Source organism: Homo sapiens, chromosome 4, assembly GCF_000001405.40.
Source record: "Homo sapiens chromosome 4, GRCh38.p14 Primary Assembly".
NCBI lineage: Eukaryota > Metazoa > Chordata > Mammalia > Primates > Hominidae > Homo > Homo sapiens.
In genome coordinates, this window is record NC_000004.12 from 104,554,304 (window position 1) to 104,581,127 (window position 26,824).

The 26,824-nt window shown below is 37.4% G+C and overlaps 2 long non-coding RNA genes across 2 annotated transcripts in view; one reads left to right on the top strand and one right to left on the bottom strand.

Moving 5' to 3' along the window:
• Positions 1 to 26,824, top strand: part of CXXC4-AS1 (CXXC4 antisense RNA 1) — a 206,628-nt gene that overhangs the window by 63,339 nt on the left and 116,465 nt on the right. The gene's annotated exons all lie outside the window — the stretch shown is intronic.
• Positions 1 to 26,824, bottom strand: part of LOC124900745 (uncharacterized) — a 141,925-nt gene that overhangs the window by 40,289 nt on the left and 74,812 nt on the right. The window lies entirely within an intron of this gene.

The following is a 26,824-nucleotide window of genomic DNA, read 5'->3' on the forward strand; positions in this document are numbered from 1 at the left end:
CATTCTCATCTTGGGGTCAGAATAATAAGTAATAAACAAACTATGTAGTATATTAGATAGTAGTGTGTGAAAAGAAGGGAAAAAAGCATAAAGAAGATAGAAGGTGTATGTGGTAGATTACAAGTTTAGATAGCATTACTAGTAAGTTCTCACTGAGAAGATATTCTAGTAAAGACCCAAAAACGGTGAGAGAGTGAGACATATAGATTTTAGGGGATGAGAACTCCAGGTAGAAGATACTAGACAACTTTGTAGCAGGTACAAAGTTGTATTGAAAGTATAGCAATGGAGTGAGCAAGTGGTAAGAAATGAGGTTGCAGTGGTAATGAGGGGCAGGTCATGTAGAAATCTATTGGTCTTTGTAAGTAATTAGACATTCATTCCGAATGAAATAGGAAGCAATTAATGGGTTTTTAGTTTATGAGTGAAATGAACTAATTTCCCTTTAGACAAAATGACTTTGGCTGCTTTGTTGAGAACGGAAAAAAGAGGAAAGGACAGAGCAGGGTAAGTGGTTAAGAAATGATTGAATTAATACAGACTAAATGGGCTAAGGTGGTAGCAGTGGTGGTGACCAGTAGTCTGATCCTGCATACATTTTGAAGGTAGGGACAACAGGACCCATTGAGGTATTGGATGTGGACTATAAGAAAAGAAAAGTCAAGAATAATGCCAACATTTTTGGCTTGAACTATTTGATGGATTTTTCTGGAAAGATGAAGTTGAGAAGGTATGAAGGCAGGAAGAAAACCTGGTGCCTAAATACTCTGCTGTGTTTTAAGAGGAGCATCTGGTATACAAATTGATTCTTCTTTGCAAAACCAAGAACAACTGTGGATTATTTGTTTCTTTATTTGTTTGTGGCATTGATAAATGAATTATTCCCAGTGAGAAATGAGAGAACCTAGAAAAAGCATTTAAGAACTCCCAATTCTTTGTCTAATAAACTAGCTTTTGTTATGCTAGGATCCCTGAGTCTAATATCAGTCATTCAAACAACCTTTAAGACCTTGTGTCAAAAAATATCAAAATAATGTTATTGTTAGTTCTTAAAGCTAAAGGTAAAAACACATTCTCTTGCTTTTTACTTGTCTTTTTTGGGGGAGTTGGGGGGAATGGTTTCACAGTCCATCTAATGGATGCCTTATGGATTCTCTAAATGGCAGCCCCAGGTATACACGCATTGGCTTTTGCCGAACCTTCAGGGTGAGTGTCATTCCCTTCGCTCTTTACTTAGTTGAAATTCTCTCTATGCCTGAAGGCACATTTCAAGATCTTTCTCTTCCATAAAGAGTTATCTTACCACTCTAGATAACACTTATTTTTATAACAATCACTTATTATTCTTTCATTTTTTGTGTGTTAGATTTCCCTTTCTGTTTAAATTATAAACCAATTTTTGGGAGGCAATGTATCCCATGCTGAGAAGGAATTCATCACATGCACTGATGCATTTGTGATTTCATAAAAATAGAACTGGACTTTTGGTCAAAAAACATGGTTTAAAAATAAGTCTTCACTTAAACGTTACTGGCTATTGATCAAGTAATGTTAAGCAGTTATACTCAACTTTTCCAAGGTTTAGTTTGTTTGTTAATACTGCTGAAATATTTCACTGAGTTTGAAATATGTTTGATTTCCCAGCATTATGGGGAGGATTAGATGAAGTGCTTTGTCAATGTTAGGAAATGTAGTTGTGTTATATTCTAGACCAGAGTCTCCATTATGGGCAGCACTGATCACCCAGCACCATATCAAGCCAGGCTCTTCAGGAGTTACTCAGGCTGGTTGACTTTTTCCAACACTTCAGCAGTTCTCTCCTTAATGGCTTCCACATAGCTAAAATTTCCATGTATCTTCTCATTTACTATACCTTGAATATTTTGAGTTTCCAAATAGCTAGAGTTTTTAACATGTCAAAAAGCTCTCTGGGTGAGTTTAGCATTGTCATAAATGGAGCACTTTGAGATATAAATGATGAGAGGGACAACTTCCCTTTAATTTCATTGATTACTATCAACTGCCAATCAGGCAGTACTTACCCCACCTGCTAACTAATCCAAAAGCAACACTTAGCTCAGAGAAAAGCAAAGGTAATATGCAAAAAGCCGACAGTTTCAGCTGTTAACAATATTATTAATTAACCATTTCCAGAAGAGTTTTAAATTATTCATTGACATTTTATTGTTATTAACAATACATTTATTGAGCACCTATCAAGTACTAAGATTCCCAAAATGGTATAAAACACAGCGACTGCTCTTGTGTCATTTAAAATCCATTAAAATATACACAATTTTTTCAGGTGTGTACATGTGCTCAAGGTTCTAGTGCATACTTAACTGTAATAACGGGAGAGTGAGAAATCCAAAAGCAGGAGAGGATAAACAGATTTAAAAAAAAAAGTCGGTTCCCTAAGTTTACATGAAGAATGTGTTTACCTAAAGGCTTCTAAGCGACATTTTGATAAAAACAGTTTATGAGATCCACTTCTACCAATGATAACTTTCTTTCCTCCAAATCTGGCTGCTGCTTACATCTCTCTAAAAGGACTACTTTTTATATGCAGAGGGACATTAATTCATTTTCTAATAACAGAAGCAAAAACTTAGAGTGACATAAAAAACAACAGAAGGAAGTAGAATTAAAGTACCATGAAGATAGAGACTATGACTATTTTGCAAATTCCCAGGACTCAGGAGGGAGACTGAAACACAGCAGGTACTCTACAATAAATATTTTTTGAAGGAGTGGATGGGTGGATGGACGGATGGGTGGATGGAGATGGGAATTAATTGAATGAAGCCCTTCAAATTGCAATTGTTAAGTCTAGGACAAAAATCTGCATTTGAGATATGGAAATGGGAACTTTAATTTATTATGACAAAATTCTGAATCTTGCTCTCTGGTTCACAATTTCCTCCCGTCTTAAAGAAAATGATTGGATATTTAAGATCATTTCTAGGTCTAAAATAAGATACTTTGATAATATGATGACTTAACATTTTGAGTCTTATGTTTAGCTATGATTCATCTCTGAACCAGTAATTTGGAATGCATTTTTAATAATAACAATATTAATTACTAACTGACTTCATGCATTAGTTAGCTAAATAATCAAAATAACATTTCTACAAAGTAAGAATCATTAGGTGCCTCTTTATCCAAATGAAGAAACTGAGGTTTATTCAGGTAAGTAACTTGTCCAAGAGCACAGAGGTGGGCATGATAGAGTTGAGGCTATGGATCAGGTCTGGCTCACTCTGATTCCCATGCCTGGAACTGTTGTCTATTATTTAACACACCTTCTTTTATAAGACATTTGTGTGTAAGAGGTCCATAACTTGAGAAGAGGTACAATGTTGTTTCTTTACAGCTAGGCCAGTCACCAGTGTTGCTGACCTGGACATAGGGTTAGGATTAGGAAATTCCATCAAGCATAAAACAAGACAAAGATGAATATCTTGTGTCAATGTGTTCAGGATTCAGCCACAAGGCAAGAGAGCAGATAACAGGGCAGAAGGAATTAAGAGTACGGGGCAGTTTGGGTGGACTGAAGGTAAAGGCAATTTGAAATTTTGGACAGTAGCCAGAAATCAGGGCATATAGAAGAACAAAAAAGATCAGAACAATAGCAAGCAAGAGAGCAGAGCTCATGATAGTGTCCATTGACCTTAATCACTGGAGCAGATCTCTTCTGGTGGGATTTTTTTTTAATCATTGCATATAGCAGAAACCAATTTTCGATTGCAGGTCTGGGAACAGCATGAAGAAGCAGAATTGGCGGCTCCAAGCTAACTGGGGCAGGGGATCAGTAGCAGCTGCGGGTGAGAAACTCCTGACACCTTAGCATACCTTCTTAGCGCTTGAGAGTTTCACTATCTGTTCAGTCCCTTTTGCAAGGGGAAATTGGTTCTGCAGCATATATCGTAGCTTCCCAGCTGGAAGAGTGCAATGATGGATTGCTGGAGTCCACACAACTGATGGGTTCTTTCTTTTTTCCCCTGTCAGGAAAAAGTGACTCACGGCAATCATATATTGGTGTCATATACATAACTCTTACCCTCCCTGCCCTTCTGCACCACCCCCAATATACTAACTCACCATTGGCATAAATCTACTTTTGTAATTCTACATTGCAAGTTCCTGGTATTTGCAAGATGCTGTTCTAGGTGGAGGAGATGAAAAGATGAATGAGATATGATTCCTGCCTTTGAGGAGTTCACAGTCTAGATGGGAGAAAGGCATGCATAAACCAATAATCATAGCTAACAGATATGGAGCACTTATAGCAAGGCAGATGCTATTATACTTGCTATATATATTAGCTATATATATTACCTCATTTAATCCTCAAAGCTACCCCATAAGGTACGAGTCTTATCCTCACTTTATAGATGAAGAAACTCATGCACAGAGGGGCTAAATAAATTACTCAGGATCACTCAACTAATAAGAGTTGGAACCCAGAATTCTAAACCACACAATGTGGCCACAGGGCCTGTCTTGTGAAGATGACATACTGCCTTCTCATAAATAAAAAATTACTGAGTACAATTATCAGAGCAAGAATTGAGACATACAGAAAAGGAAAATGACCACATGAAAAGAGTAAAGATTTGCAATGAGTAGAGTAAGTGGGATTATGTTGACTGTCATAGGACTTTTAATATACTTTTCAATTTTTCTGGACCTTAAGTTATTCATGGGGAGAACAATACATATGTTCAGGTGTTATTGTAAAGATAATAAAGACTGTATAGAAAATACCTACCACAGTGCCTGGCATATTAGATATTTAATAAATGATGCTTATAATTGAAATAGTGGTAGTTGTTGTTGCTTTTGTTATCACTGTGATGTTGTACATAAGTACTGTAGGGACGCAAAGGAATTGTGACTGATTCTGTCTGAAGAGGGAAGGTGGTTGAGGAAAGATATTGTGAGGCTTGGCATAAAAGGTGGCATTTGAACTGGACCTTGAAAGATAATCATTTTCTAGACAGATGAAGGGAAGAAATGCATTCTAAATAGAGACAACATGTGCATAACATATGTGGAAAATACCAAGTTTTTGTTGGTTTGGATAAATCATGGTATGTGTGTCTGCATGTGTGCGCGTGTGTGTTGAGAGTGGCTGGAGATGACACTATAAAGATTTGAAGGGCACACATCATGAAAACCTTGCAAGTCATTGAATTTAGCCCTAAACTCATAAAATATGAAAAGTTATATGGTAACTAACTCAGCAGTGTTTTGGATCCCTCTAAACTAGTTTTTTAATGGAATGTTTCCTTTTCTTCCTTCTAAATATTTTAAAACACAATAATACTGCTTTATAAGACAATTATATGGTGTTCAACAGCTGGCCAAACTTTCAGTTTCATTTTACTCTAGAGTTACTATGTGTACTTCTCTGTCTATCAACAATTCATGAGCAAATCAGCCAGTGTCAGAAATGGACGATGAAGAATAAATGTGGCAGAAATATTCCATATAATGACTTGTTGGAACTGTTGCCTTTACTGGTCACCCTACTTTTGACCCAGACATAAATTGGCAAAGACCCATTGCTCAACATTTAGATAAGAACCCTTTTTTTTTTTAAATTTCAACTATTAGTTTAGATACAGGGTATACATGTGCAGATTTGTTACATGGGAATATTGAGTGATGCTGAGGTTTGGAGCACAGATCCTGTTACCCTAGTAGTGAGCATGGTAACTGATAGGTAGTGTTTTAACCCACCCACTCCCACCCTCTAGTAAGCCACAGCATCTAGCATCTATTGTTCTCATATTTATGTCCATGTGTGCTCAGTGCTTAGTTCCCACTTATTAGTGATAACAGGTAGTATTTGGTTTTCTGTTCCTGTGTTAATTTGCTTAGGATTATGGCCTCCAGCTCTATACATGTTGCTGCAAGACATTATTTCATTCTTTTTATGGCTACATAGTATTTCATGGTGTATATATCCACAGTTGCTTTATCCAATGGGATGATTTCATGTCTTTGCTTGTGTAAATAGCACAGCTATGAACATACGAATGCATGTGTCTTTTTGGTAGAATGATTTTTTTTAATATATACCCATTAATAGGATTGCTGGGTTGAAGAACCCATTTTTTGACTGTTGTTAAATTTAATTATCCCTGTGAAGGGTAATAAGCAGTATGTGTGTGTCTATGTATGTGTCTTTGAGTGTGTGAGTGACAAAATTCTTGTTTATATAAATATTGTACACACTTGTTTGAAACCATCTGATGTCTCACTTTCCCAGCACTAAAACGAAATGAAACAAAAGCACACCAATAAATAAATAAATACTTGGCCAAAAAGATACTACTTTTTGGGACAATTAATAAGTAAAATAAGCATAAAAGTTTTTTGAAGAATGAAGAAATAGAAAAACAAAATGCTATTATTTCCTTTGGTCTTTAGGCAGAAGGACAAATCCAACTACAATGATTTTGTAGCCTTATCTAAAAGCCAATTAGGGGGAACCTCCATCTGCTCTCATTGCTAACATAGTATAGTCAAGACGCCTTTTGAACAACTGTTTGACTCTTCAGCAGTTATTGCTATTGTAGCTGATTCTCATCACTTTCTTTTCTCGCATGACCCCTGGAATATACAAATGATCACATAGTAGATAATTGTATACAATTGTTTATTTAGCCTTCCATCAGAAACATCATTGTTACTATTGTTTTAATGAAAATTACCAAATAATCTTAATCTGGATTATTCAAAGAATGCCTTTTACTTTGAATGAACTGAGTTTTGCTGTAGAATGCCTTAGTGAAGAAAGTTATTACATATGGTTCTTTGTGTTTCCTTTGCTTAGGTTTGCAGACAAGATGAATTATTTTAATTTTTTTCTTATAAGTTCATCAGGCTAACTCTTTAATCATTTTTATTGCCCATCTCATCTCAGTTATATTAAATCTAATTTTCCTATATTTGGGTACATTGGTAAATACCAAATTATTTTTAATATTCAAATAGTTGTCCCATCAGAATTATATAAACAGTATTTTACTGTCATTGTTAAGTGAATATTTAACATGTCCAGTTCTCAAATACCGTTTTCATTTTTGACTCCATTACATTGCTAGTAAAGTCAAATCTGCCGTAAATGGATGGTACATTCTTTCTGTCCATTATACATGACTTGCTTTTGCTTCCACTGAGTGAATTTTAAAAAATTATTTTTACCAATTGTACTAGCCTGATTTTTCAAGTATAAGGTCATTTTTACTTACATATAATCCTTCAAAATCATTTATCTACCTTGTCATAATGCATGCTAACAGCACCCTTCAATTCAGTATCATCTGCAAATTTCATTAACATATTGTTTACTCCCTTTCCAGGTGATTGATGTAGATATTAAATATGACTATAGTTAACATCAATCCCTTCCTAACTTGGTTACAAATTTCTTCAAAATAAAATAGCATTTTTAGTATTACTCCTAATTTGTAGTTCTTCAATCAATTTTGTATTCTAATGGTACGAGAATGTTTAATGCAAGTTAATTTTAACTTTGAAAGTCTGTCTCAGATTGCTAAAATAAAACATGTTCTGCTTTCTGTATTTCTCACATTAAGTAATTCTAATTCTCTAAAAATTGTGGACAACCTCGTTAACCTGTAAAAGTAATTTATAAATCCAAGTTATCTCTGAAACATGATGCAATCATCTTGGGGAGACTTGAATGTCTACAAAATTTCTCTAGGGCTTTATAATATCGCTGGTCTGAGAAATTCCATTAATGTTTCATTTGGAAATGTTAACTCCTATGAAACTAGGGTATTCTTGTGTTTTTTTTTTTTTAAATATACTTTAAGTTCTGGGATACATGTGCAGAACGTGCAGGTTTGTTACATAGGTATACATGTGCCGTGGTGGTTTGCTGCACCCATCAACCATTCATCTACAGTAGGTATTTCTCCTAATGCTATCCCTCCCCTAGCCCCACATCCCCTGACAGGCCCCAGTGTGTGATGTTCCCCTCCCTGTGTCCCTGTGTTCTCATTGTTCAACCCCACTTAGGAGTGAGAATATGCAGTGCTTGGTTTTCTGTTCCTGTGTTAGTTTGCTGAGAATGATGGTTTCCAGCTTCATCCATGTCCCTACAAAGGATATGAACTCCTCCCTTTTTATGGCTGCATAGTAGTCCATGGTGTATATGTTCCACATTTTCCTTATCCAGTCTATTATTGATGGGCATTTGGGTTAGTTCCAAGTCTTCGTTATTGTGAATAGTGCTACAATAAACATACGTGTGCATGTGTCTTTATAGAAGAATGATTTATAATCCTTTGTGTATATACCCAGTAATGGGATTGCTGGGTCAAACAGTATTTCTGGTTCTAGACCCTTGAGGAATCTCCACATTGTCTTCCACAAAGGTTGAACTAATTTGCACTCCCACCAACAGTGTGACAGCATTCTTATTTCTCCATATCCTCTCCAGCATCTATTGCTTTATAACTTTTTAATGATATAACGCCATTCTAATTGGTGTGAGATGGTATCTCACTGTGGTTTTGATTTGCATTTCTCTAATGACCAATGATGATGAGCTTTTTTTTGTATGTTTGTTGGCTGCATAAATGTCTTCTTTTGAGAAATGTCTGTTCATATCCTTTGCCTACTTTTTGATGGGATTGTTTTTTTCTTGTAAATTTGTTTAAGTTCCTTGAAGATTCAGGGTATTAGCCCTTTGTTTAAGTTTCTTGTAGTTTCAGGATATCAGCCCTTTGTCAGATGGATAGGTTGCAAAAATTTTCTCCCATACTGTAGGTTGCCTGTTCACTCTGATGATAGTTTCTTTTGCTATGCAGAAGCTCTTTAGTTTGATTAGATCCCATTTGTCACTTTTGGCTTTTGTTACCATTGCTTTTGGTGTTTTAGACATGAAGTCCTTGCCCATGCCTATGTCCTGAATGGTATTGCCTAGGTTTTCTTCCAGGGTTTTTATGGTTTTAGGTCTTATGTTTAAGTCTTTAATCCACCTTGAGTAAATTTTTGTATAAGGTGTAAGGAAGGTGTCCAGTTTCAGTTTTCTGCATATGGCTAGCCAGTTTTCCCAAAACCATTTATTAAATAGGGAGTCCTTTCCCCATTGCTTGTTTTTGTCAGGTTTGTCAAAGATCAGATGGTCGTAGATGTGTGGTGTTATTTCTGAGGCCTCTGATCTGTTCCATTGGTCTATATGTCTGTATTGATATCAGTACCATGCTGCTTTCATTACGGTAACTTTGTAGTATAGTTTGAAGTCAGGTAGTGTGATGCCTCCAGCTTTGTTCTTTTTGCTTAAGATTGTCTTGGCTATATGGGCACTTCTTTGGTTTCATATGAAATTTAAAGTAGTTTTTTCTAATTCTGTGAAGAAAGTCAATGGTAGCTTGATGAGGATAGCACTGAATCTATAAACTACTTTGGACAGTATGGCCATTTTCATGAAATTGACTCTTCCTATCCATGAGCATGGAATGTTCTGCCATTTGTTTCTGTCCTCTCTTATTTCCTTGAGCTGTGGTTTGTACTTCTCCTTGAAGAGGTTCTTCAAATCCCTTGTAACTTTTATTCCTAGGTATTTTATTCTCTTTGTAGCAATTGTGAATGGGAGTTCACTCATGATTTGGCTCTCTGTTTGTCTATTATTAGTGTATAGGAATGCTTGTGATTTTTGCACATTGATTTTTTATCCTGAGACTTTGCTGAAGTTGCTTATCAGCTTAAGGAGATTTTGGGCTGAGATGATGGGGTTTTCTAGGTATACAATCATGTCATCTGCAAACAGAGACAATTTGACTTCCTCTCTTCCTATTTGATCATGCTTTCTTTCTTTCTTTTGCCTGAATGCTCTGATCAGAACTTCCAATGCTATGTTGAATAGGAGTGGTGAGAGAGGACATCCTTGTCTTGTGCTGGTTTTCAAAGGGAATGCTTCCAGCTTTTGCACATTCAGTGTGATATTGGCTGTGGGTTTGTCATAAATAGCTCTTATTATTTTGCAATACCTTTCATCAATACCTAGTTTATTTATCATTTTTATTATGAAGGTGTGTTGAATTTTATCAAACGCCTTTTCTGTATCTATCTGTTGAGAAAATCATGTGTTTTTTTCCCACTGGTTCTGTCTATCTGATGGATTATGCTTATTGATTTGCATATGTTGAACCAATCTTGCATCCCAGGGATGAGTCTGACTTTATCATGGTGGAAACGCTTTTTGATGTGCTGCTGGATTTGGTTTGCCAGTGTTTTATTGAGGATTTTGCATCAAGGTTCATCAGGGATATTGGCCTGAAATTTACTCTTTTGTTGTTTCTCTGCCAGGTTTTGGTATCACAATGATGCTGGTCTCATTAAATGAGTGAGGGAGGACTCCCTCTTTTTCTATTGTTTGGAATAGCTTCAGAAGGAGTGGTATCAGCTCCTCCTTTTACCTCTGTTAGAATTTGGCTGTGAATCCTGGTTCTGAGATTATTTTGATTGGTAGGCTATTAATTACTGGCTCAGTTTCAGAACTTGTTATTGGTCTATTCAGGGATTTGTCTTCATCCTGGTTTCGTCTTGGAAGGGTGTATGTGTTCAGGAATTTATCCATTACTTCTAGATTTTCTAGTTTATTTGCATACAGATGTTTATAGCATTCTCTGATGGTAGTTTGTATTTCTGTGGGATCAGTGGTGATATCCCCTTTATCATTTTTTATTGTGTCTATTTGATTCCTCTCTCTTTTCTTCTTTATTATTCTGGCTAGTGGTCTATTTTGTTAATCTTTTCAAAAAACAAGCTCCTGGATTCACTGATTTTTTTGAAGGGTTTTCTCTGTCTCTATCTCCTTCATTTCTGTTCTGATCTCATTTCTTTTCTTCTGCTAGCTTTTGAATTTGTTTGCTCTTGCTTCTCTAGTTTTTTTAATTGTGATATTATAGTGTTAATTTTAGTTCTTTCCCACTTGCTCCTGTGGGCATTTAGTGCTATAAATTTCCCTTGAAACACTGCTTTGGCTGTGTCCCAGAGATTCTGGTAAGTTGTGTCTTTGTTCTCATTGGTTTCAAAGAACTTATTTATTTCTACCTTAAGTTCGTTATTTGCCCAGTAGTCATTCAGGAGTAGGTTGTTCAGTTTCCATGTAGTTGTGCGCTTTTGAGTGAGTTTCTTAATCCTGAGTTCTAATTTGATTGCACTGTGGTCTGAGAGACTGTTTGTTATGATTTCCTTTCTTTGCATTTGCTGAGGAGTGTTTTACTTCGAATTATGTGGTCAATTTTAGAATAAGTACAATGTGGTGCTGAGAAGAACATATATTATTTTAATTTTTGGTGGAGAGTTCTGTAGATGTCTGTTAGGTCTGCTTGGTCTAGAGCTGAGTTCAAGTCCTGAATATCCTTGTTAATTTTATTTCTCATTGATGTGTCAATTATTGACAGTGGGGTGTCAAAATCTCCCACTATTATTGTGTGGGAGTCTAAGTCTCTTTGTGGTCTATAAGCACTTGCTTTACATATCTGGGTGCTTCTGTATTGGTGCACCCACTAAATATATATTGGTGCATATATATTTAGGCTAGTTAGCTCTTTTTGTTGCATTGATCCCTTTACCATTATGTAATGCCCTTTTTGTCTTTTCTGATCTTTGTTGGTTTAAAGTCTGTTTTATCAGAGACTAAGATTGCAACCTCTGCTTTTTTTTGCCTTCCATTTGCTTGGTAAATATTCCTCTATCCCTCTATTTTAAGCCTATGTGTGTCTTTGCACGTAAGAGGGGTCTCCTGAATACAGCACCCTGATGGGTCTCGACCCTTTATCCAATTTGCCAGGCTGTGTCTTTTCATTGTGGCACTTAGCCTATTTACATTTAATGTTAATATTGTTATGTGTGGAGTTGATTGTGGCACTTATCCCATTTACATTTAATGTTAATATTGTTACGTGTGGAGTTGATTAACATTAAATGTTTAACATTTAATGTTAATATTGTTATGTATGGAGTTGATTGTTATGTGTGGAGTAAAGACAGTGCAGTCTTTATGATGCTAGCTGGTTATTTTGCCCATTAGTTGATGCAGTTTCTTCATAGTGTCAATAGTCTTTACAATTTGGTATGTCTTTGCAGTGGCTTGTACTGGTTTTTCCTTTCCATATTTAGTGCTTTCTTCAGGAGCAAGGCAGGCCTGGTGGTGACAAAAATCTCTCAGCATTTGCTTGTCTCTAAAGGATTTTATTTCTCCTTCCACACTTATGAAGCTTAGTTTGGCTGGATATGAAATTCTGGGTTGAAAATTCTTTTCTTTAAGAATGTTGAATATTGTCCCCCACTCTCTTCTCACTTGTTAGGGTTTCTGCAGACAGATCTGCTGTTAGTCTGATGGGCTTCCCTTTGTGGGTAAGTAACCTGACCTTTCTCTCTGGCTGCCCTTAACATTTTTTCCTTCAGCTCAACCTTGGTGAATCTGACAGTTATGTGTCTTGGGGTTGCTCTTCTCAAGGAGTATCTTTGTGGTGTTGTCTCTGTATTTCCTGAATTTGAATGTTGGCCTTTCTTGCTAGGTTGGGGAAGTTCTCCTGGATAATATCCTGAAGAGTGTTTTCCAACTTGGTTCCATTCTCCCCATCACTTTCAGGTACCCCAATCGAACGTAGGTTTCGTCTTTTCACATAGTCCTGTATTTCTTGGCGGTTTTGTTCATTCCTTTTCATGGTTTTTTCTCTAATCTTGTCTACATGCATGATTTCTTTAAGTTGATCTTTAATCTCTGATATCCTTTCTTCAGCTTGATCAATTCAGCTATTGATGCTTGTATATGCTTCACGAAGTTCTTGTACTGTGTTTTTCAGCTCCATCAGGTCATTTATATTCTTCTCTCAACTGATTATTCTAGTTAGCAATACATGTAACATTTTATCGAGGTTCTTACCTTCCTTGCATTGTGTTAGAACATGCTCCTTTAGCTCAGAGGAGTTTGTTATTACTCACCTTCTGAAGCCTACTTTTGTCAGTTTGCCAAACTCATTCTCCATCCAGTTTTGTTCCCTTGCTGGCAAGGAGTTGAGGTCCTCTGGAGAAGAGGCGTTCTGGTTTTTGGAATTTTCAGCCTTTTTTTCTCCTCATCTTTGTGGATTTATCTATTTTTGGCTTCTGATGCTGAGGACTTTGGAAAAGGTTTTTGTGTTGGCGTCCTTTTTGTTGATGTTGATGTTATTACTTTCTGTTAGTTTTTCTTCTAACAGTGAGGCCCCTCTTCTGCACGTCTGCTGGAGTTTGCGGGAGGTCCTCTCCAGACCCTCTGTGCCTGGGTATCACCAGCAGAGGATGAAGAACAGCAAAGATTGCTGCCTGCTCCTTCTTCTGGAAGCTTCATCCCAGAGGGTCACCCACCAGAATCCAGCTGGAGCTCTCCTGTATGAGGTGTCTGTTGACCCCTGCTGGGAGGGTCACCCCATCAGGAGGCATGGGGGTCAGGGACCCACTTGAGGAGGCAGTATGTCCCTTAGCAGAGCTCGAATGCTGTGCTGGGAGATCTGCTGCTCTCTTCAGAGCCTGCAGGCAGGAAAATTTAGGTCTACTGAAGCTGCGCCCACAGCCACATCTTCCCCTACGTGCTCTGTCCCAGGAAGTTGGGAAGTCTATCTATAAGCCTACTCAAGCCTCGGTAGTGGCAGATGCTCCTCCCCCGACCAAGCTCGAGCATCCCAGGTTGATTTCAGACTGCTGTGCTGGCAGCAAGAATTTTAAGCCAGTGGATCTTAGCTTGCTGGGCTCTGTGGGGATGGAATCCACTCAGCTATACCACTTGGTTCCCTGGCTTCAGCCCTGTTTCCAGGGGCATGAATGGTTCTGTCTCACTGGCGTTCCAGGTGTCACTGGGGTATGAAAAAAACTCCTGCAGCTAGCTCGCTGTCTGCCCAAATGGCCGTCCAGTTTTGTGCCTGAAACCTAGGGCCCTGGTGGTGTAGGCACCCGAGGGAATCTCCTGGTTTGTGGGTTGCGAAGACTGTGGGACAGCATAGTATGTGCACTGGAGTGCACTGTTCCTGAAGGCAGGCTCCCTCAGGGCTTCCTTTGGCTAGGGGTGGGAGTTTCCCGACCTCTTGGACTTCCCAGCTGAGGCAACACCCCACCCTGCTTCTGCTCGCCCTCTGTGGGCTGCACCCACTGTCTAACCAGTCCCAGTGAGATGAACCAGGTACCTCCAGGTACCTCAGTTGGAAATACAGAAATCACCCACCTTCTGTGTTGATCTCACTGGGAGCCGCAGACTGGAGCTGTTCCTATTTGGCCATCTTACCAGCCACCCACCCTCCTTTTTTTTTTTTTTTTTTTTTTTTTGAGACAGAGTCTTGCTCTTGTTGCCCAGGCTGGAGTGCAAAGGCACGATCTCAGCTCACTGCAACCTCTGCTTCCTGAGTTCAAGCGATCCTCCTGCCTCAGCCTCCTGAGTAGTTGGGATTACCTCAGTAGAATTCAGTTGGGTATTTACTTTATTCTAATTTTACTTGCCTTCTAATGTAAATGATTATATAAAGTATTTCTTCCAGTTGGTGTGTATGGAAAAGGTAAATTGCATATTAGTTACTTATACAATTTTTGTTTTAATCATTTTTATTGGTCACCTATAAATAGGCAATTGATAAATAATTTTTTCTATCTCCCCTACAATCCGGAAATTAAAATAATCTAATCACAGGTCACATCAAAATGATAATTTAAATGGGACTGTCTCCTACATAGCTGCCAAGAAGTTTTCAGCACATAACTTGAACCACATAATTATGAAGTAATCCCCATGACAACAAAATACATTTTATGTAACAAAGACTAGTTTCCTGCGAAGATTTTACCATTACAAATGAAGAAGTTTGGCACTGTATATTTTACTGTGTCTCATTCCTTCTCCCCAAACAGATTTGGCTGATTAATTATGTCACTGTCATCCCTTGCTAGGGACGAGGAACATTAAGACAATGTGGGCCAATGAGAGAGCAGGAGAGATTTGCTGGGTGTTCTGGAAAAGGAGTTCCTTCTCAACAATTCCATATCTTCTCTCTCTACTCCTTGATCTCTTCTGACCACCTTCTGACATTTCCTACCAAAGCCACATGCACAGCCACAAAGCCCAGACTGCCACTGGCAGCAAACCTGCCACCACGAGGGGAACCGTCTAAGAATGAAGCCTGAGTGTAGGCAGCAAAGTAGACGCAAAGAGCCTGTCTTCATGACCTCACTGAGCCAGCAGAAAAACCTGGGACCCACCCTGAAGCATACTGTATCTCTGTGTCTGCTCATTGATAAACACACAAATGCCCTTTCTCTATATGTCGGTCCAAAGAGGATTTGTTACATGGAGCCAAAAGCATCCTAATTAGTCCTTGAGTATACACTTTGTAAGCTAAAGTTAACCAAATATGAACATGTTTGTATTGGTTTAGTAATCATGCAGATTCTTGTTTAGATTGGATATCAAAATTAAACTTTTCAAACTTAATGTATATTCTGTATCATAATGTCTTTTAAAAGAAGATTTTGAAAACAGCCAAAGGTTACAGAGCTAGTCAGTTGAAGGGTCAGAATTTATCCCTAGGCAGTCTGGCCGCAGAGCCTGTGCTTTTAACCAGCAAATGAGAGAGGACACTGCAGGGATTTTGACAAGCATGCTCAAGATGGAGCAGAACCAAAAACTAGTAGTGTCTAAAAAAAAAGAGAGAGAGAGAGAAAGACAGACAGAGAGACGGTGAGGACAGAGTGTCATAAAGAAAACAGAGTGATCAGAAATGTGCAACGCAACAGAAAAATCAAAATATGAAAAGATCTTAAATTAAGCCTTCATATGAATTGAATTTTACTGCTGGACTTTGAAAAACCAGGTACTCTAGTACCTGCTAGGCTGTTAATCTGGGGGTAGTAATTTAAATAATAAATAAAAAGAGGAGAAAAGTAAATGTATCAGGTATTTAATTTTTGAGGTTACTAAAACTGGTATTACTATTATTATTATTATTTTATCTGTATCACAAACCCCCATGGAGTCTTTTCATCCCTAAATCTTCTCCATGTGTTCTCCAAAAATATGTGTTCTCTTGAAACCCTTTTGCATCTCTTAGTATCTATTAAGTTAGTGCAAAAGTAACTGTGGTTTTTGGAATTAAAAGCAATGACATTTTAATGCCAAAAACTGCAATTACTTTTGCACCAACCTAAATCTATTTAATCTGTCTATCTGTCCTCTATCTATCTATCTATCTATCTATCTATCTATCTATCTATCTATGTGGTTATCTAGCTGTTATCTATCTATATATCTATCTATCTATCTATGTATCTATCTAGTAAGAATACACATGTTGGAAGAAATCTATTGATTGGTCTTGTACTGGAATCCACATTTTTCCTAACAAAATATTCCAGCCAGACTTTTCTTACATACAAGTGTGTGTAGCCTCATTAGGGAAGGTTCCTAGCCCAAACCATTGATTTGTTATTCTATGTACAGTCAAGGAGTTGTGTTGTGCAATCATATCACTCTGACATCTAAACAATAAGACAGGTGGTTTTCAAGCAGTTAGGACAAGAGTACTTAGAATGCCACAGGGAAAAATAAAATAAAATTACATTGAGAGACAGAATGAATAATGGAAATAATTAAATAGTATCTGAAGTAGTCTAGCTAACCTGGATTGGAATTCTGTTCTGCCATTCGTCAACCATGCAAACTTGGAAACTTCCTTAACCTACCTTAGATTGTAGTTTATCTTAAGTAAACTGAGGAGTAATACTAACTTCACAAAATTGTTGTTATAATTAGCCACACAATGCAGGGCCTGACCTATAGTGGGTGTTCAGAGAACAACAGCCATTATCATATGTCTTATTGAGTTTGCCCTGATGTAACTCCTAAGGTTAGGGATGGCATGATACATAAAAAGACAGCTTAAAACAAGAAACCAAATAAAGTAGTTTCATCAATCTTAGTGCATTGAAGTAAGAAAGTAAAAGAAGTGAGATAGTTGCTACTCCTCTGAAAAGAAATGTTATAAGGCCTCTTGCCCTGTAACAAACATGACAAACTGAAACACTGACCAAGGGATCAAGCAGACAATACAAATGATAAAGCAGATAAGTATCCAGGTTCTAGGCTTGTTTGCCTTCAGATGTCTATGTCCTCCTTGCCTTGCTCTGTTCTGTGTCACAGAAGGACTCACCCATGCAAGATGCATTCCTCAGGTTTCTGAGTCAGCTGCCTCCAGCAGGGTGAAAACAATGGCAAGCACTGGCAGGAGACTTGAGGGTAGGGGACTAGTAGGAGACCACCAAGTTAGCTCCATTCTCCCCACCCCTTCTTGTTCGCTGTGTCTGACTGTTTCTCTAGCAATGGCTTCATCTCTGTGTGTTCCAGTGTACCCTTCACGTAACCATGACCCTGGGCTCCTACAACACTAGCTCCTCCTTTTTCTCTCCAGCCAAGTGTTAGTAGTATCTTCTTGCCATGTCAATCTCTGGTTTATGTCATTGTCGGTATCACCTGTATAACTAGTTGCCTATGCTACAGTATTGGCTTCTGTATTCCTGGTTAGACCCTGACTGATAGAATCTGTAAACATGGACACAAGTAAAATTGATAGGATTTCACAAAGTGGTGAGAACCTCCTGGTCATCTGGTACTCACCTGTGACTAACTGATGCATTTTAGGAATATGGGTACCATATGGTCAAATCCTCCAAATTTTCAAGAAATGCTGAACTATGACGTGACCTGCAACTGTCGTGATTTTCTAGGAAGATGTGAGGAGAGCTGTGACTGACTTAGTGGTTTAGTGCTATTGAACATTCTGATTTGTGCGCTGGAATTAGTCAACATTGAGAATGAAACACTACCAACTTTCTTAATGTATACAATTGTTATTTCGAGAAACATTTTCGAGTGTCTACATTGTATTACTCACCAAGGTAAATGCCTAGAATACAAGAAAGATTAGTTGATAGTTAACTACTATTAATTATCTAGTTTGATACAAGTACTTTTAGATACATAATAAAACATTATCTTTACTATGAAAGTTCATGGTCATTACCCACAAGTTTTGTTTTATTTTCACTTTTTGAAAGCTGAGACTCAGAGATACCAATGAACTCTCCAAGTTTACGTAGCTGGTTTGAAGGAGATCTCACTGAAATCCATAGTTGGACTCTAAAAATTATGCTCTTTCTGCAGTGACATGCATAGTCTTCCTGGATTACAGAAAACATAAAATGTGCATGATCAAGTAAGTTACATGTTAGCAGGGAGGAGAGATAAGTAAGTAGCTATAAAGCAGTGAAGGAAATGTTATGTTGGTGGGTATATTTTAATGCTCCATTGATTATATTGACACAGTAGGTGACTCGGTTGTTCACAACTTTACACACAGTTTTCTTTCTTGGTCATACCCCAAGCCACTTTCTATAATTTGTAGAAAGCATGTGTTCAGAAAAGCTGCTTAACAAAATAGTTGTGTACCATAGGTGAAGGAAGCATAATGAGATCATCTTTGATACTTGCAGCTAATATAAATTTAAAAGAGATGTAAGCATTTATAACTCTCTTTAAATGTGCGGCAATAGTTAGCATAGAAGTTATTTGTGAACAAAGAACCCACAATTAACTGAACACTAAACTCGACTTTGTAATACTTGAAAATAAAAATAATTGTATTTTAGTAAAGCATTTTATACTATCTTAACATTCAGTTTCTGTTCCCTTTTTAAATGTTCAGTCTTTCCACTGGGAGACATTACAAAATGAATTTAGTAACAGTAACTAACACTTACCGTAGTTCTTACTGTGTAGGATCTTATTTAATACAACAACCCTAGGAGGAGGCTAATATTATTATCCCCATTGTACGGAGCATTTTAGTCAGGGTTCTCTAGAGGAACAGAACTATTAAAAATAGGATATATGTATATATGAAAGGAAGTTTTTTAAGGAGAATTGACTCACAGGATCATGAGGTGAAGTCCCATGATAGGCCATCTGCAAGTTGAGGGGCAAGGAAACCAGTAATGGATCAATCTGAGTCCCAAAACCTCAAAAGTAGGGAAGCTGATAGTGCAGCCTTCATTCTGTGGCCAAAGGCCTGAGAGCCCCTATCAAACTACTGGTGTAAGTCCAAGAGTCCAAAAGCTGAAGAACTTGGAGTCTGATGTTGGAGGGCAGGAAGCATCCAGCATGGGAGAAAGATGAAGGTCAGAAGACTCAGCAAGTTCACTCCTTCCATCTTATTCTGCCCGCTTTATTCTAGCCATGCTGGCAGCTGATAAGATGGTGCCCACCCAGATTGAGGGTGGGTCTGCCTCTCCCAGTCCACTGACTCAAATGTTAATCTCCTTTGACAACACCCTCGCAGATACACCCAGGAACAATATTTTGCATCCTTCAATCCTTCAATATTGACACTCAATATGAACCTATTAACCATCACACAGAAGAAGTAACTGAGGAAGAAAGAAGCTAAATAATTTGTGTAAAGCCACATAGATTCTCAGTTGCAGAGCCGTGATTCAAACTGAGGTGTTGGGCACCATGCCTAAGCAATTAATCCTGGTACCTCACTGTTTCTTCATAAAGCAATAGAAGTGCTTACTATATGCAAAATATTGTAGGGAATATGCTACCACTCCTGAGTGGCTTGGAATCTAATTGGAGAGTCATAACATACCACCACATAAATTTGTATTGGTCTTAAATAAATTTTAAGGAAGTACCATACAAGAGGTACTGAATTATTATTATTGATTGAATAAGTAAGAAAGATCAGAGAATGGGAAGGTGAACCAGTTAATTTTTATTGCCAGTATATACCAAATATGGAATATATTTTGATCCTTATAAATTGCTTGACAGTCCAGTGAAATAGATACTGCAAGTCTTCCTATTTTAGAGATGGAGACTAAATAACATGCCCAAACCCATGTAGCTAGGAAGTTGCACTCAAAGTGTGCTTCGTGGACAGGCAGCATGAAAATCACCTGAGAGGTTGTCAGAAATGCAAATTTAAGGTCCAACCCAGACCTGTTGAATCAGATCTCTGGGACTGATGCACAGAAATGTGTGTTCCAATCAGTTTTCTATGTGATTCTCGTGCACATTGAAGTTTGAGAAGTACCTACTTAAGGTATGAATTTGTGGTAATTGTGAGATCTGTGTAATGTTAAGCCTCATATTCTTGCCACAGCACCATGCTGTGACGTGGGCTAGCTGGGGAAGTTTGGAAGGAATTCAATATAAGAGCTGTTCTTTGAAGGACTGGTTAAGTACAGGTCGGAAGAAAGAAGAATGGAAACATAATAGGAGAGAACACTTACTGAACATGTCGTGCATGATGGTTGCCATGTTTATCTTCCCATCCTAGCTATAATTATTTCACCCAAAACTCTTGGTTAGGTTTACTTATCAGACTAAGGGAGGGCACCTGATACAAAGGTAGGCCATCTGTAGTCTAGTGAGCAATTCAAAGAGAGGCTTTGCATGAAGTGTTCTGCCAATGATTAATAATGGTAATGAAGCCAATTATTTAGATTTGCACCATGGACTGTGGAGGAGGAATTATCAGTAGGTATCAGCAAGAGGATAATGGAGCAGACATATAGGAAAAGACAAATACAATATAAGGAAAACAAAAAGACAAGCTTTCCCCTATACCTCTTATTCATATATTTTGGCTATTTCTTATTTCTATTTATGAATATCCTCCTCTAGGAATCCAGAGTAACACTATAATCTAAGACTAACCATAATCCTTTATGTAACATAATAACAAAGACAAAGAGACTTAAAGCAGCGAGACATTTGGAGGGGTCAGCTATGGGCTCAATCTAGATGGTCAGAGGTCTTTTTTCTCAAGAAGTTACAGGAGACAGGGCCGGTGATAAGAAAGTTCAGAAGAGTAGAAACAATTTCTTAGGCTGGAAAGTTACTTTCATACTTCCTCTCCCTAACTCCCATTTCTCTTCTTGTAATTTGTATCTCCTACCACGTAACAGAGCCACAAACTATAAACATTAAAACCTTACAGGGCCAACTTCTTTCTGGTAGATTTAATTGCCCCTGGTAGCAAAGCCACTTGTCTCTGAAGGGGCCACTTGTCCTAAGAAATGCAAGCACTTGCTTCCCTTGATTTTCTAAGATGCCCAGAAGTTGGCTCCTTTGTCCACACAGATCAGCCCTGCCTTAGACCTCAGGCTATTTCACAAAGCTTGTCTCTGCCCTCTTCTTGTCTCTGTTACATTCCTTTTGCACTTCCTTTCCTCAAGCCAGCATTATTAAACATGGTAATAATTATATTAATAGTAAATATCACCTTTCTACAAGATTGTTTAGAGAATATAATGAGACTATGTATATAAACACAATTCATAAAACTGTTAAGTAGACCCAAATTTTAGTGATTGTAATGATAATATTTTCGTGCATGATTCCATTAGAGTTTAAAGTTGTACTGGATTTGAATGCTTAGTAAAAATGATTGGGTTTTACTTTTTGACATCCTGAAACATTTAGAGCACAGTAGTGACAGGTTGAAAGCTGGGATTTATTAATAATTAATCTAATAATCATGTAGGGAGTGGAGAGAGGAAATACTAGCATTATAGGATTAATTTAGGAGTTTATTTCCAACTACCCAGGTACTTAGCCAAAAGGCTGAATAGTGGTCATTTCATGGTCACTACCATGGAAACAGAAAGGAAGGGGCACTTTGACGATACATTTAGGCTGCTAAAAACGTTAGTTCTTGATGACCGATTGAATATAAATGGCAACAAAGAAAGAGTCAGAGGTGACTATATGGCTTGGAACCTGTGTCTTTGGGAAAATGGAATTATTCTGAATTACACCCTCATGTCTAAGCTAAACTGGTAGGTTTACTTAGTGACTGGGCAACTTCCGCATGATTTTTAAAACATTCCTTTGTCATCTTTAATGCATACTTTAGGACCTTGGGGCACTTTTTATTACAGCACAGGCCTTACTTTCAATGATCTGAATCCAAATCTCTTTTCCAGGATAAAGATGTGATCCCGAGATATAAGGGACTTATTTTGTCCAATATGAGGTCTAGTTGGAATAGTGTCCTCTCTAAGTCAGACTCTGTGAGGGACTACAGGAAAGGGAACAAAAACCAGCTCATCTTCACCCATCCTGTGCTTTCCAGTGTTTCACTGCTACCATTCCCTTCTGTCTTAGCTTAGTGAAATCAGTGTCTTACTTGCCCTGAAACATATAATGCCCAGTAATAGAGCTAGAACTCTTGTCCAGGCCTGTCAAATAAATTTAACCAAATATTTCAATGGGAAAAAAAGAATAACTTATGTCTTGTGATAATATAACCACCATGCTTTCATGTGTGTATGTGTGTATGGGTGTGTGTGTGAGACTATAATTTATTCAACAAAAAAAATTTTGGCTTCTTTTTTTCTCAAAAAAAAAAATCATAAAAACTTATCTAATGCTGAAGGGTAGCAATCATCAGTTGATCTTAAAAGGACACCATATTCTCTATAAATATTTCTTTCTAAAGTTGTCAGTTAGGTTTCATCCTGCTTTATCCTTTCTTTAGGAAAGGATAGTGTTAAAGTGCCATCAAGTAAAATATGGGATTTTCTGCTGAGGTCTTTACATCAGTGAATTTACATTTTGTAAGAATACCCTAAGGGGATTTCAGCTTCCTGACTTAAAAAGTTAGGTGGATCCATTTCAGTTGTGCACATCCAGCTTCATGCTTTAACATGGCCAGATTGCCATGGCTTCAATTTAAGTCACAGGTTTCTGGTGATAATATACATCTACATTTTTACAGTGGTGCCTGAAAATGGGAGTCTATAAAGAATCTGACTTGAATTATTAAGAATGGAAAACTTAAATGTCTGACCCCAAACAGGGGTATAAATTCTGCTATGTTTTAATGCATTCACTACTTCCTAAACTGATACATATTTCCAAGATAATATGACTAACTTTATATATAAAAAATACTTTAGTTCTTTGATAAAAAGAAAAAATGCTCTTGAAGGTCAAAAGTCAAAGTATGCTATCACAAATAAAAATATTAGTTCTCTAAAATATGTAACTTGATTTCTTTTGTATAGTTTAAAACATGTGTTGAAAATTAAATATGCCTGATTTTTATAAAACTGTCATTAATGTTAGAGTATATTTGAGTTTTATATATCATAAATTAGAAGTTGAGACAGTGAGTGTATCTAATTAATAGTTATGTCCTGTCAGTGTGTATGTAAATGCTGAGTAGTCACAATTTTCAAAAATGTGTTTTCTTTTTACTTTATCATTTTCTGGTTATTTCAGATTAAATAACCATAATTTATATTCTGTGGATCTGATTATTTGTGTCTACCTCAAGATTCCAACACAATAAATTGGGATGACCATAAAGGGAAAGATGTGGGAACATCACAATTGAAAGGGTGGTCCCCTGAGGCTAACAGTGGAGATTTTACCACCCAGGACCTGAGTAGAGTCTGTAAGGAATGTTATCTAGAGAGAAGCAGTGATTCATTTAGGGAAATAACTGCCCTATGGTGACCCTAAAGGGAAGAATCCAGGAGAATAAATACCTTGACATCAGTTTCTTACCCATCTCTGATCCATCTCTGATCTCTTGCCAGGACTCCTTATTGGCAGAGCACTATCAGCAGCCAGAGTTAGGAATCCCATGGACTAGTCCATACAGGTCTATATTTCAGCCTCCCGGGGACAGAGAGCAAGGTGGGAAAGCAGGGAGAGTAGAGCTGGATGGCCAAACAAAAGATATACTCACAGTGTGGCCAAAATAAATAAATTCTAGCCATTTAATGCTTCATTTTAAAATAATTTTCAAATAGCAATTTAAAACAATCTGTCATTGCCATTCATTGAGAATACTTTCTGGAAGATAAGCAGTGTCTTCTTATCTGGAAGATATTGTTGGTCTCCTTTATTCTAGATCTCTGTAGCACCTAACACTGCTAACTGCAGTCATCTGAATATGAAAAAACGTTTAGTAGGGTTAGAATGAACTAGGACAAGGGTCAGTAACTAAAATGGGCAGTCTAGTTGGCTAAGTGGGTGGCTGAACTAGCAGATCTATTCTTTCCTTCTGATGCTACCCTTTGTTCCTTCTCCTTTGTGAATATTGGTACATTATCTATCAGTTCTATATTGCCACAGTAACTCTGTTTAACAAACCAAACTGCTCCAAAACTGAGTGGCTTAAAACAACAGTAGTCTCTTCTCACAGATCTGAAGATCAGCTAGGGTAAATTAATCTAGACTGGACCTAAATAGGTGCCTCTGCTTCCAGCTGTGGGTCTGATTGGGCATGGTTCACTCAGTCCATTTTGGCTGAACGGTCAGCAGGGAAACTTTCCTTATGGAGATGGCGCAGATAAAAAGAGGGCAAGTAGAAAAATAATAATTCCACTTAAGGTCTAGGCTAAGAACTGGCACACTATCACTTCCATCCACATACAATCGGACAATGCAACACGCAAGGCTAAGGTCAAAATCAAGGCATAGGAATAAACTTTATGCTCTGGATGAGATCATGACAAGGATATGGATGCAGAAAGGATGAAAATTGGGGACAAGATTTCAATCTACTCTAATCTACACTCTTGGCCACAATTACTCATTTGCAAGACCACCCCATGCAAAACCAAACCAAAACTAAACTGAAACAAACACCCTCATCCTAGAATCTTTAAAAGTCTCATGTCACATGACATTAAGCTCAAGGTTCAGGATCATGTAATCATTGTTAGTCCAGATGAGGCTCTTTTTGATTTGGAAACCTATAAACTAAAATGGCAAGTTATTTCGCCCAAACACAATACACTTCCGGAACAGAGAAAGAATAATAGCAATAAGCTCTTCCATTTGGAAAGCCAAAGAGAGTAGAATGGGATACAGGCACATAGGAAGCCTTGGTAGACGGTAATTTTGAAGTCCCATTTGGAAAATATTACTAAGTCTCCCTTCTCTAGGATTAGAGAATGGTCCTTAGTAAAATTCCCAATTCTGCTTCCAGGAAGTGGTCCCCAGTTTTTTATTCTCCTGCATTGTCTACTAGTTTGGATGTCCCTTTTCCCCAATCATCCTTCTTGTCCATTTTTACAGAGGACTTTGTCTAAAATGCTCTTTATAGAAGCTGAGCAATCGCCTTCGGCTGCTTCCTTTCGTGAGACAGTTGGAAGGTCTTATATTTTCAGCAGGCCCAGTCCATCTTAGTCCTGGCTTTCATTGCTTTTTGCCAATCAAATCTCTCAAAATATTGTGGACCTTCTATATATTTTTTTAGAACACTTCATCAGCCAAAAACCAAACCTACAATTTTCTCTGATGCATGCTTCTCTCTCTACTCTTAATCTTGGACATATTAGGCTTCTATGGGATTATGCCAATAAACTTTTGTAATACGATTACATTCTTATATAGGAAACACTTTATTTTCATGATAAAAGTTGCTCCTGAGAGTCAAAAAACAAAATATTCTACCAAAATAAAATGTTAACTTTCTAAAATATATAATCTGGTTGTTTTATACAATTCAAGATGAATATGTTTAAAATTAAACTTGCCTGGTTTGAATAAAACTGTTACAATGTTAGAATTTTCTATATCATATATAGTTAAATCAAAGCAGGTTATTTTATTTAGAAAGCCCTTCTTTAGATCCCTTTTTATATTTGGAAGGAATCTACTGGAAATGACCTTAATTCTTTCAGAGATTTTAATAAATGGTGTGAGGGCTGAACCCTGGTTGGTTCTATGACTCAAGGCTGTATACCAATATTGATTTCATCTTTGTTCTCATCTTGTATCTTAATCTGAGAATCTTTTCCTGGCTATAGAAGCTAAAGATGAGGAATAGTTTAATTTCCCAAGCCAGCAATTTCTGGATTTATAACATTCTGCTCACAAACTTTAAAATTATTTTCTGATCTGATTTGTTTCTGTATATCTATCTCTTTATGTATATTTTTTGTAGAAATACATTATATACATATAAAAGAGATGAGCTCACACTTTTCCCATATTGCCTAGAAACCATCCTGTCCAAGTCCACAAGTTTGTGAGATACAATTTTTATTTTCCTAGTTAGAGCAGGCAAAAGTTTTAGTAAATATTTTACCTCTACACAATGTTGTTATTTTTCTAAATATATTAGCTTTCTTCCCATTTTCTCAACCTTCATCCATTGCTCAGTCCCAAATCTAATGGTATGTATTTTATGTGTATCCCACTTCCAGTACCAATTTCAGTATCAGTTAGTTATTGTCACAGTGAGTCTGATGAACAAACAACCCCCAGTTAATCATTTATTTTCAGAGATCTGAGGTTGATAGTGAAGGTGAGGCTTGGCTGGGTTGCTCTGTGTTAAGCTGTAGGTTCCGCTATCCCTGGTTCATCACTCAGGTTGACTGCACAGTTTTTCTTATAAGAGTGGCAGAGCTACAAAGAGAATTGGTAGAAATCCTTGAGGCTCTTAACACCTAGGCTTGGAACTGGCTCTTTGACACTTCCTCCCCTAAATGTTTTTGACCAGGCAAGTCCCATAGCTAAGCTCAAAGTCCCCAGTTGGAGAAAACTATACACCACCATCAATGGGGTCATAGCAAATATCTATGCAGGGAAGGGGAACCAGAAGTTTAATCTACCACCTTTTTAGAGTCCCAAATAACCTTGGCTGCCAACTTGTAGATAGTTTTAAGAATTTATAAATGAGGCCAGTGCTTTTTTTTTTTTTTTTTTGGTTAAATCCTGAATACT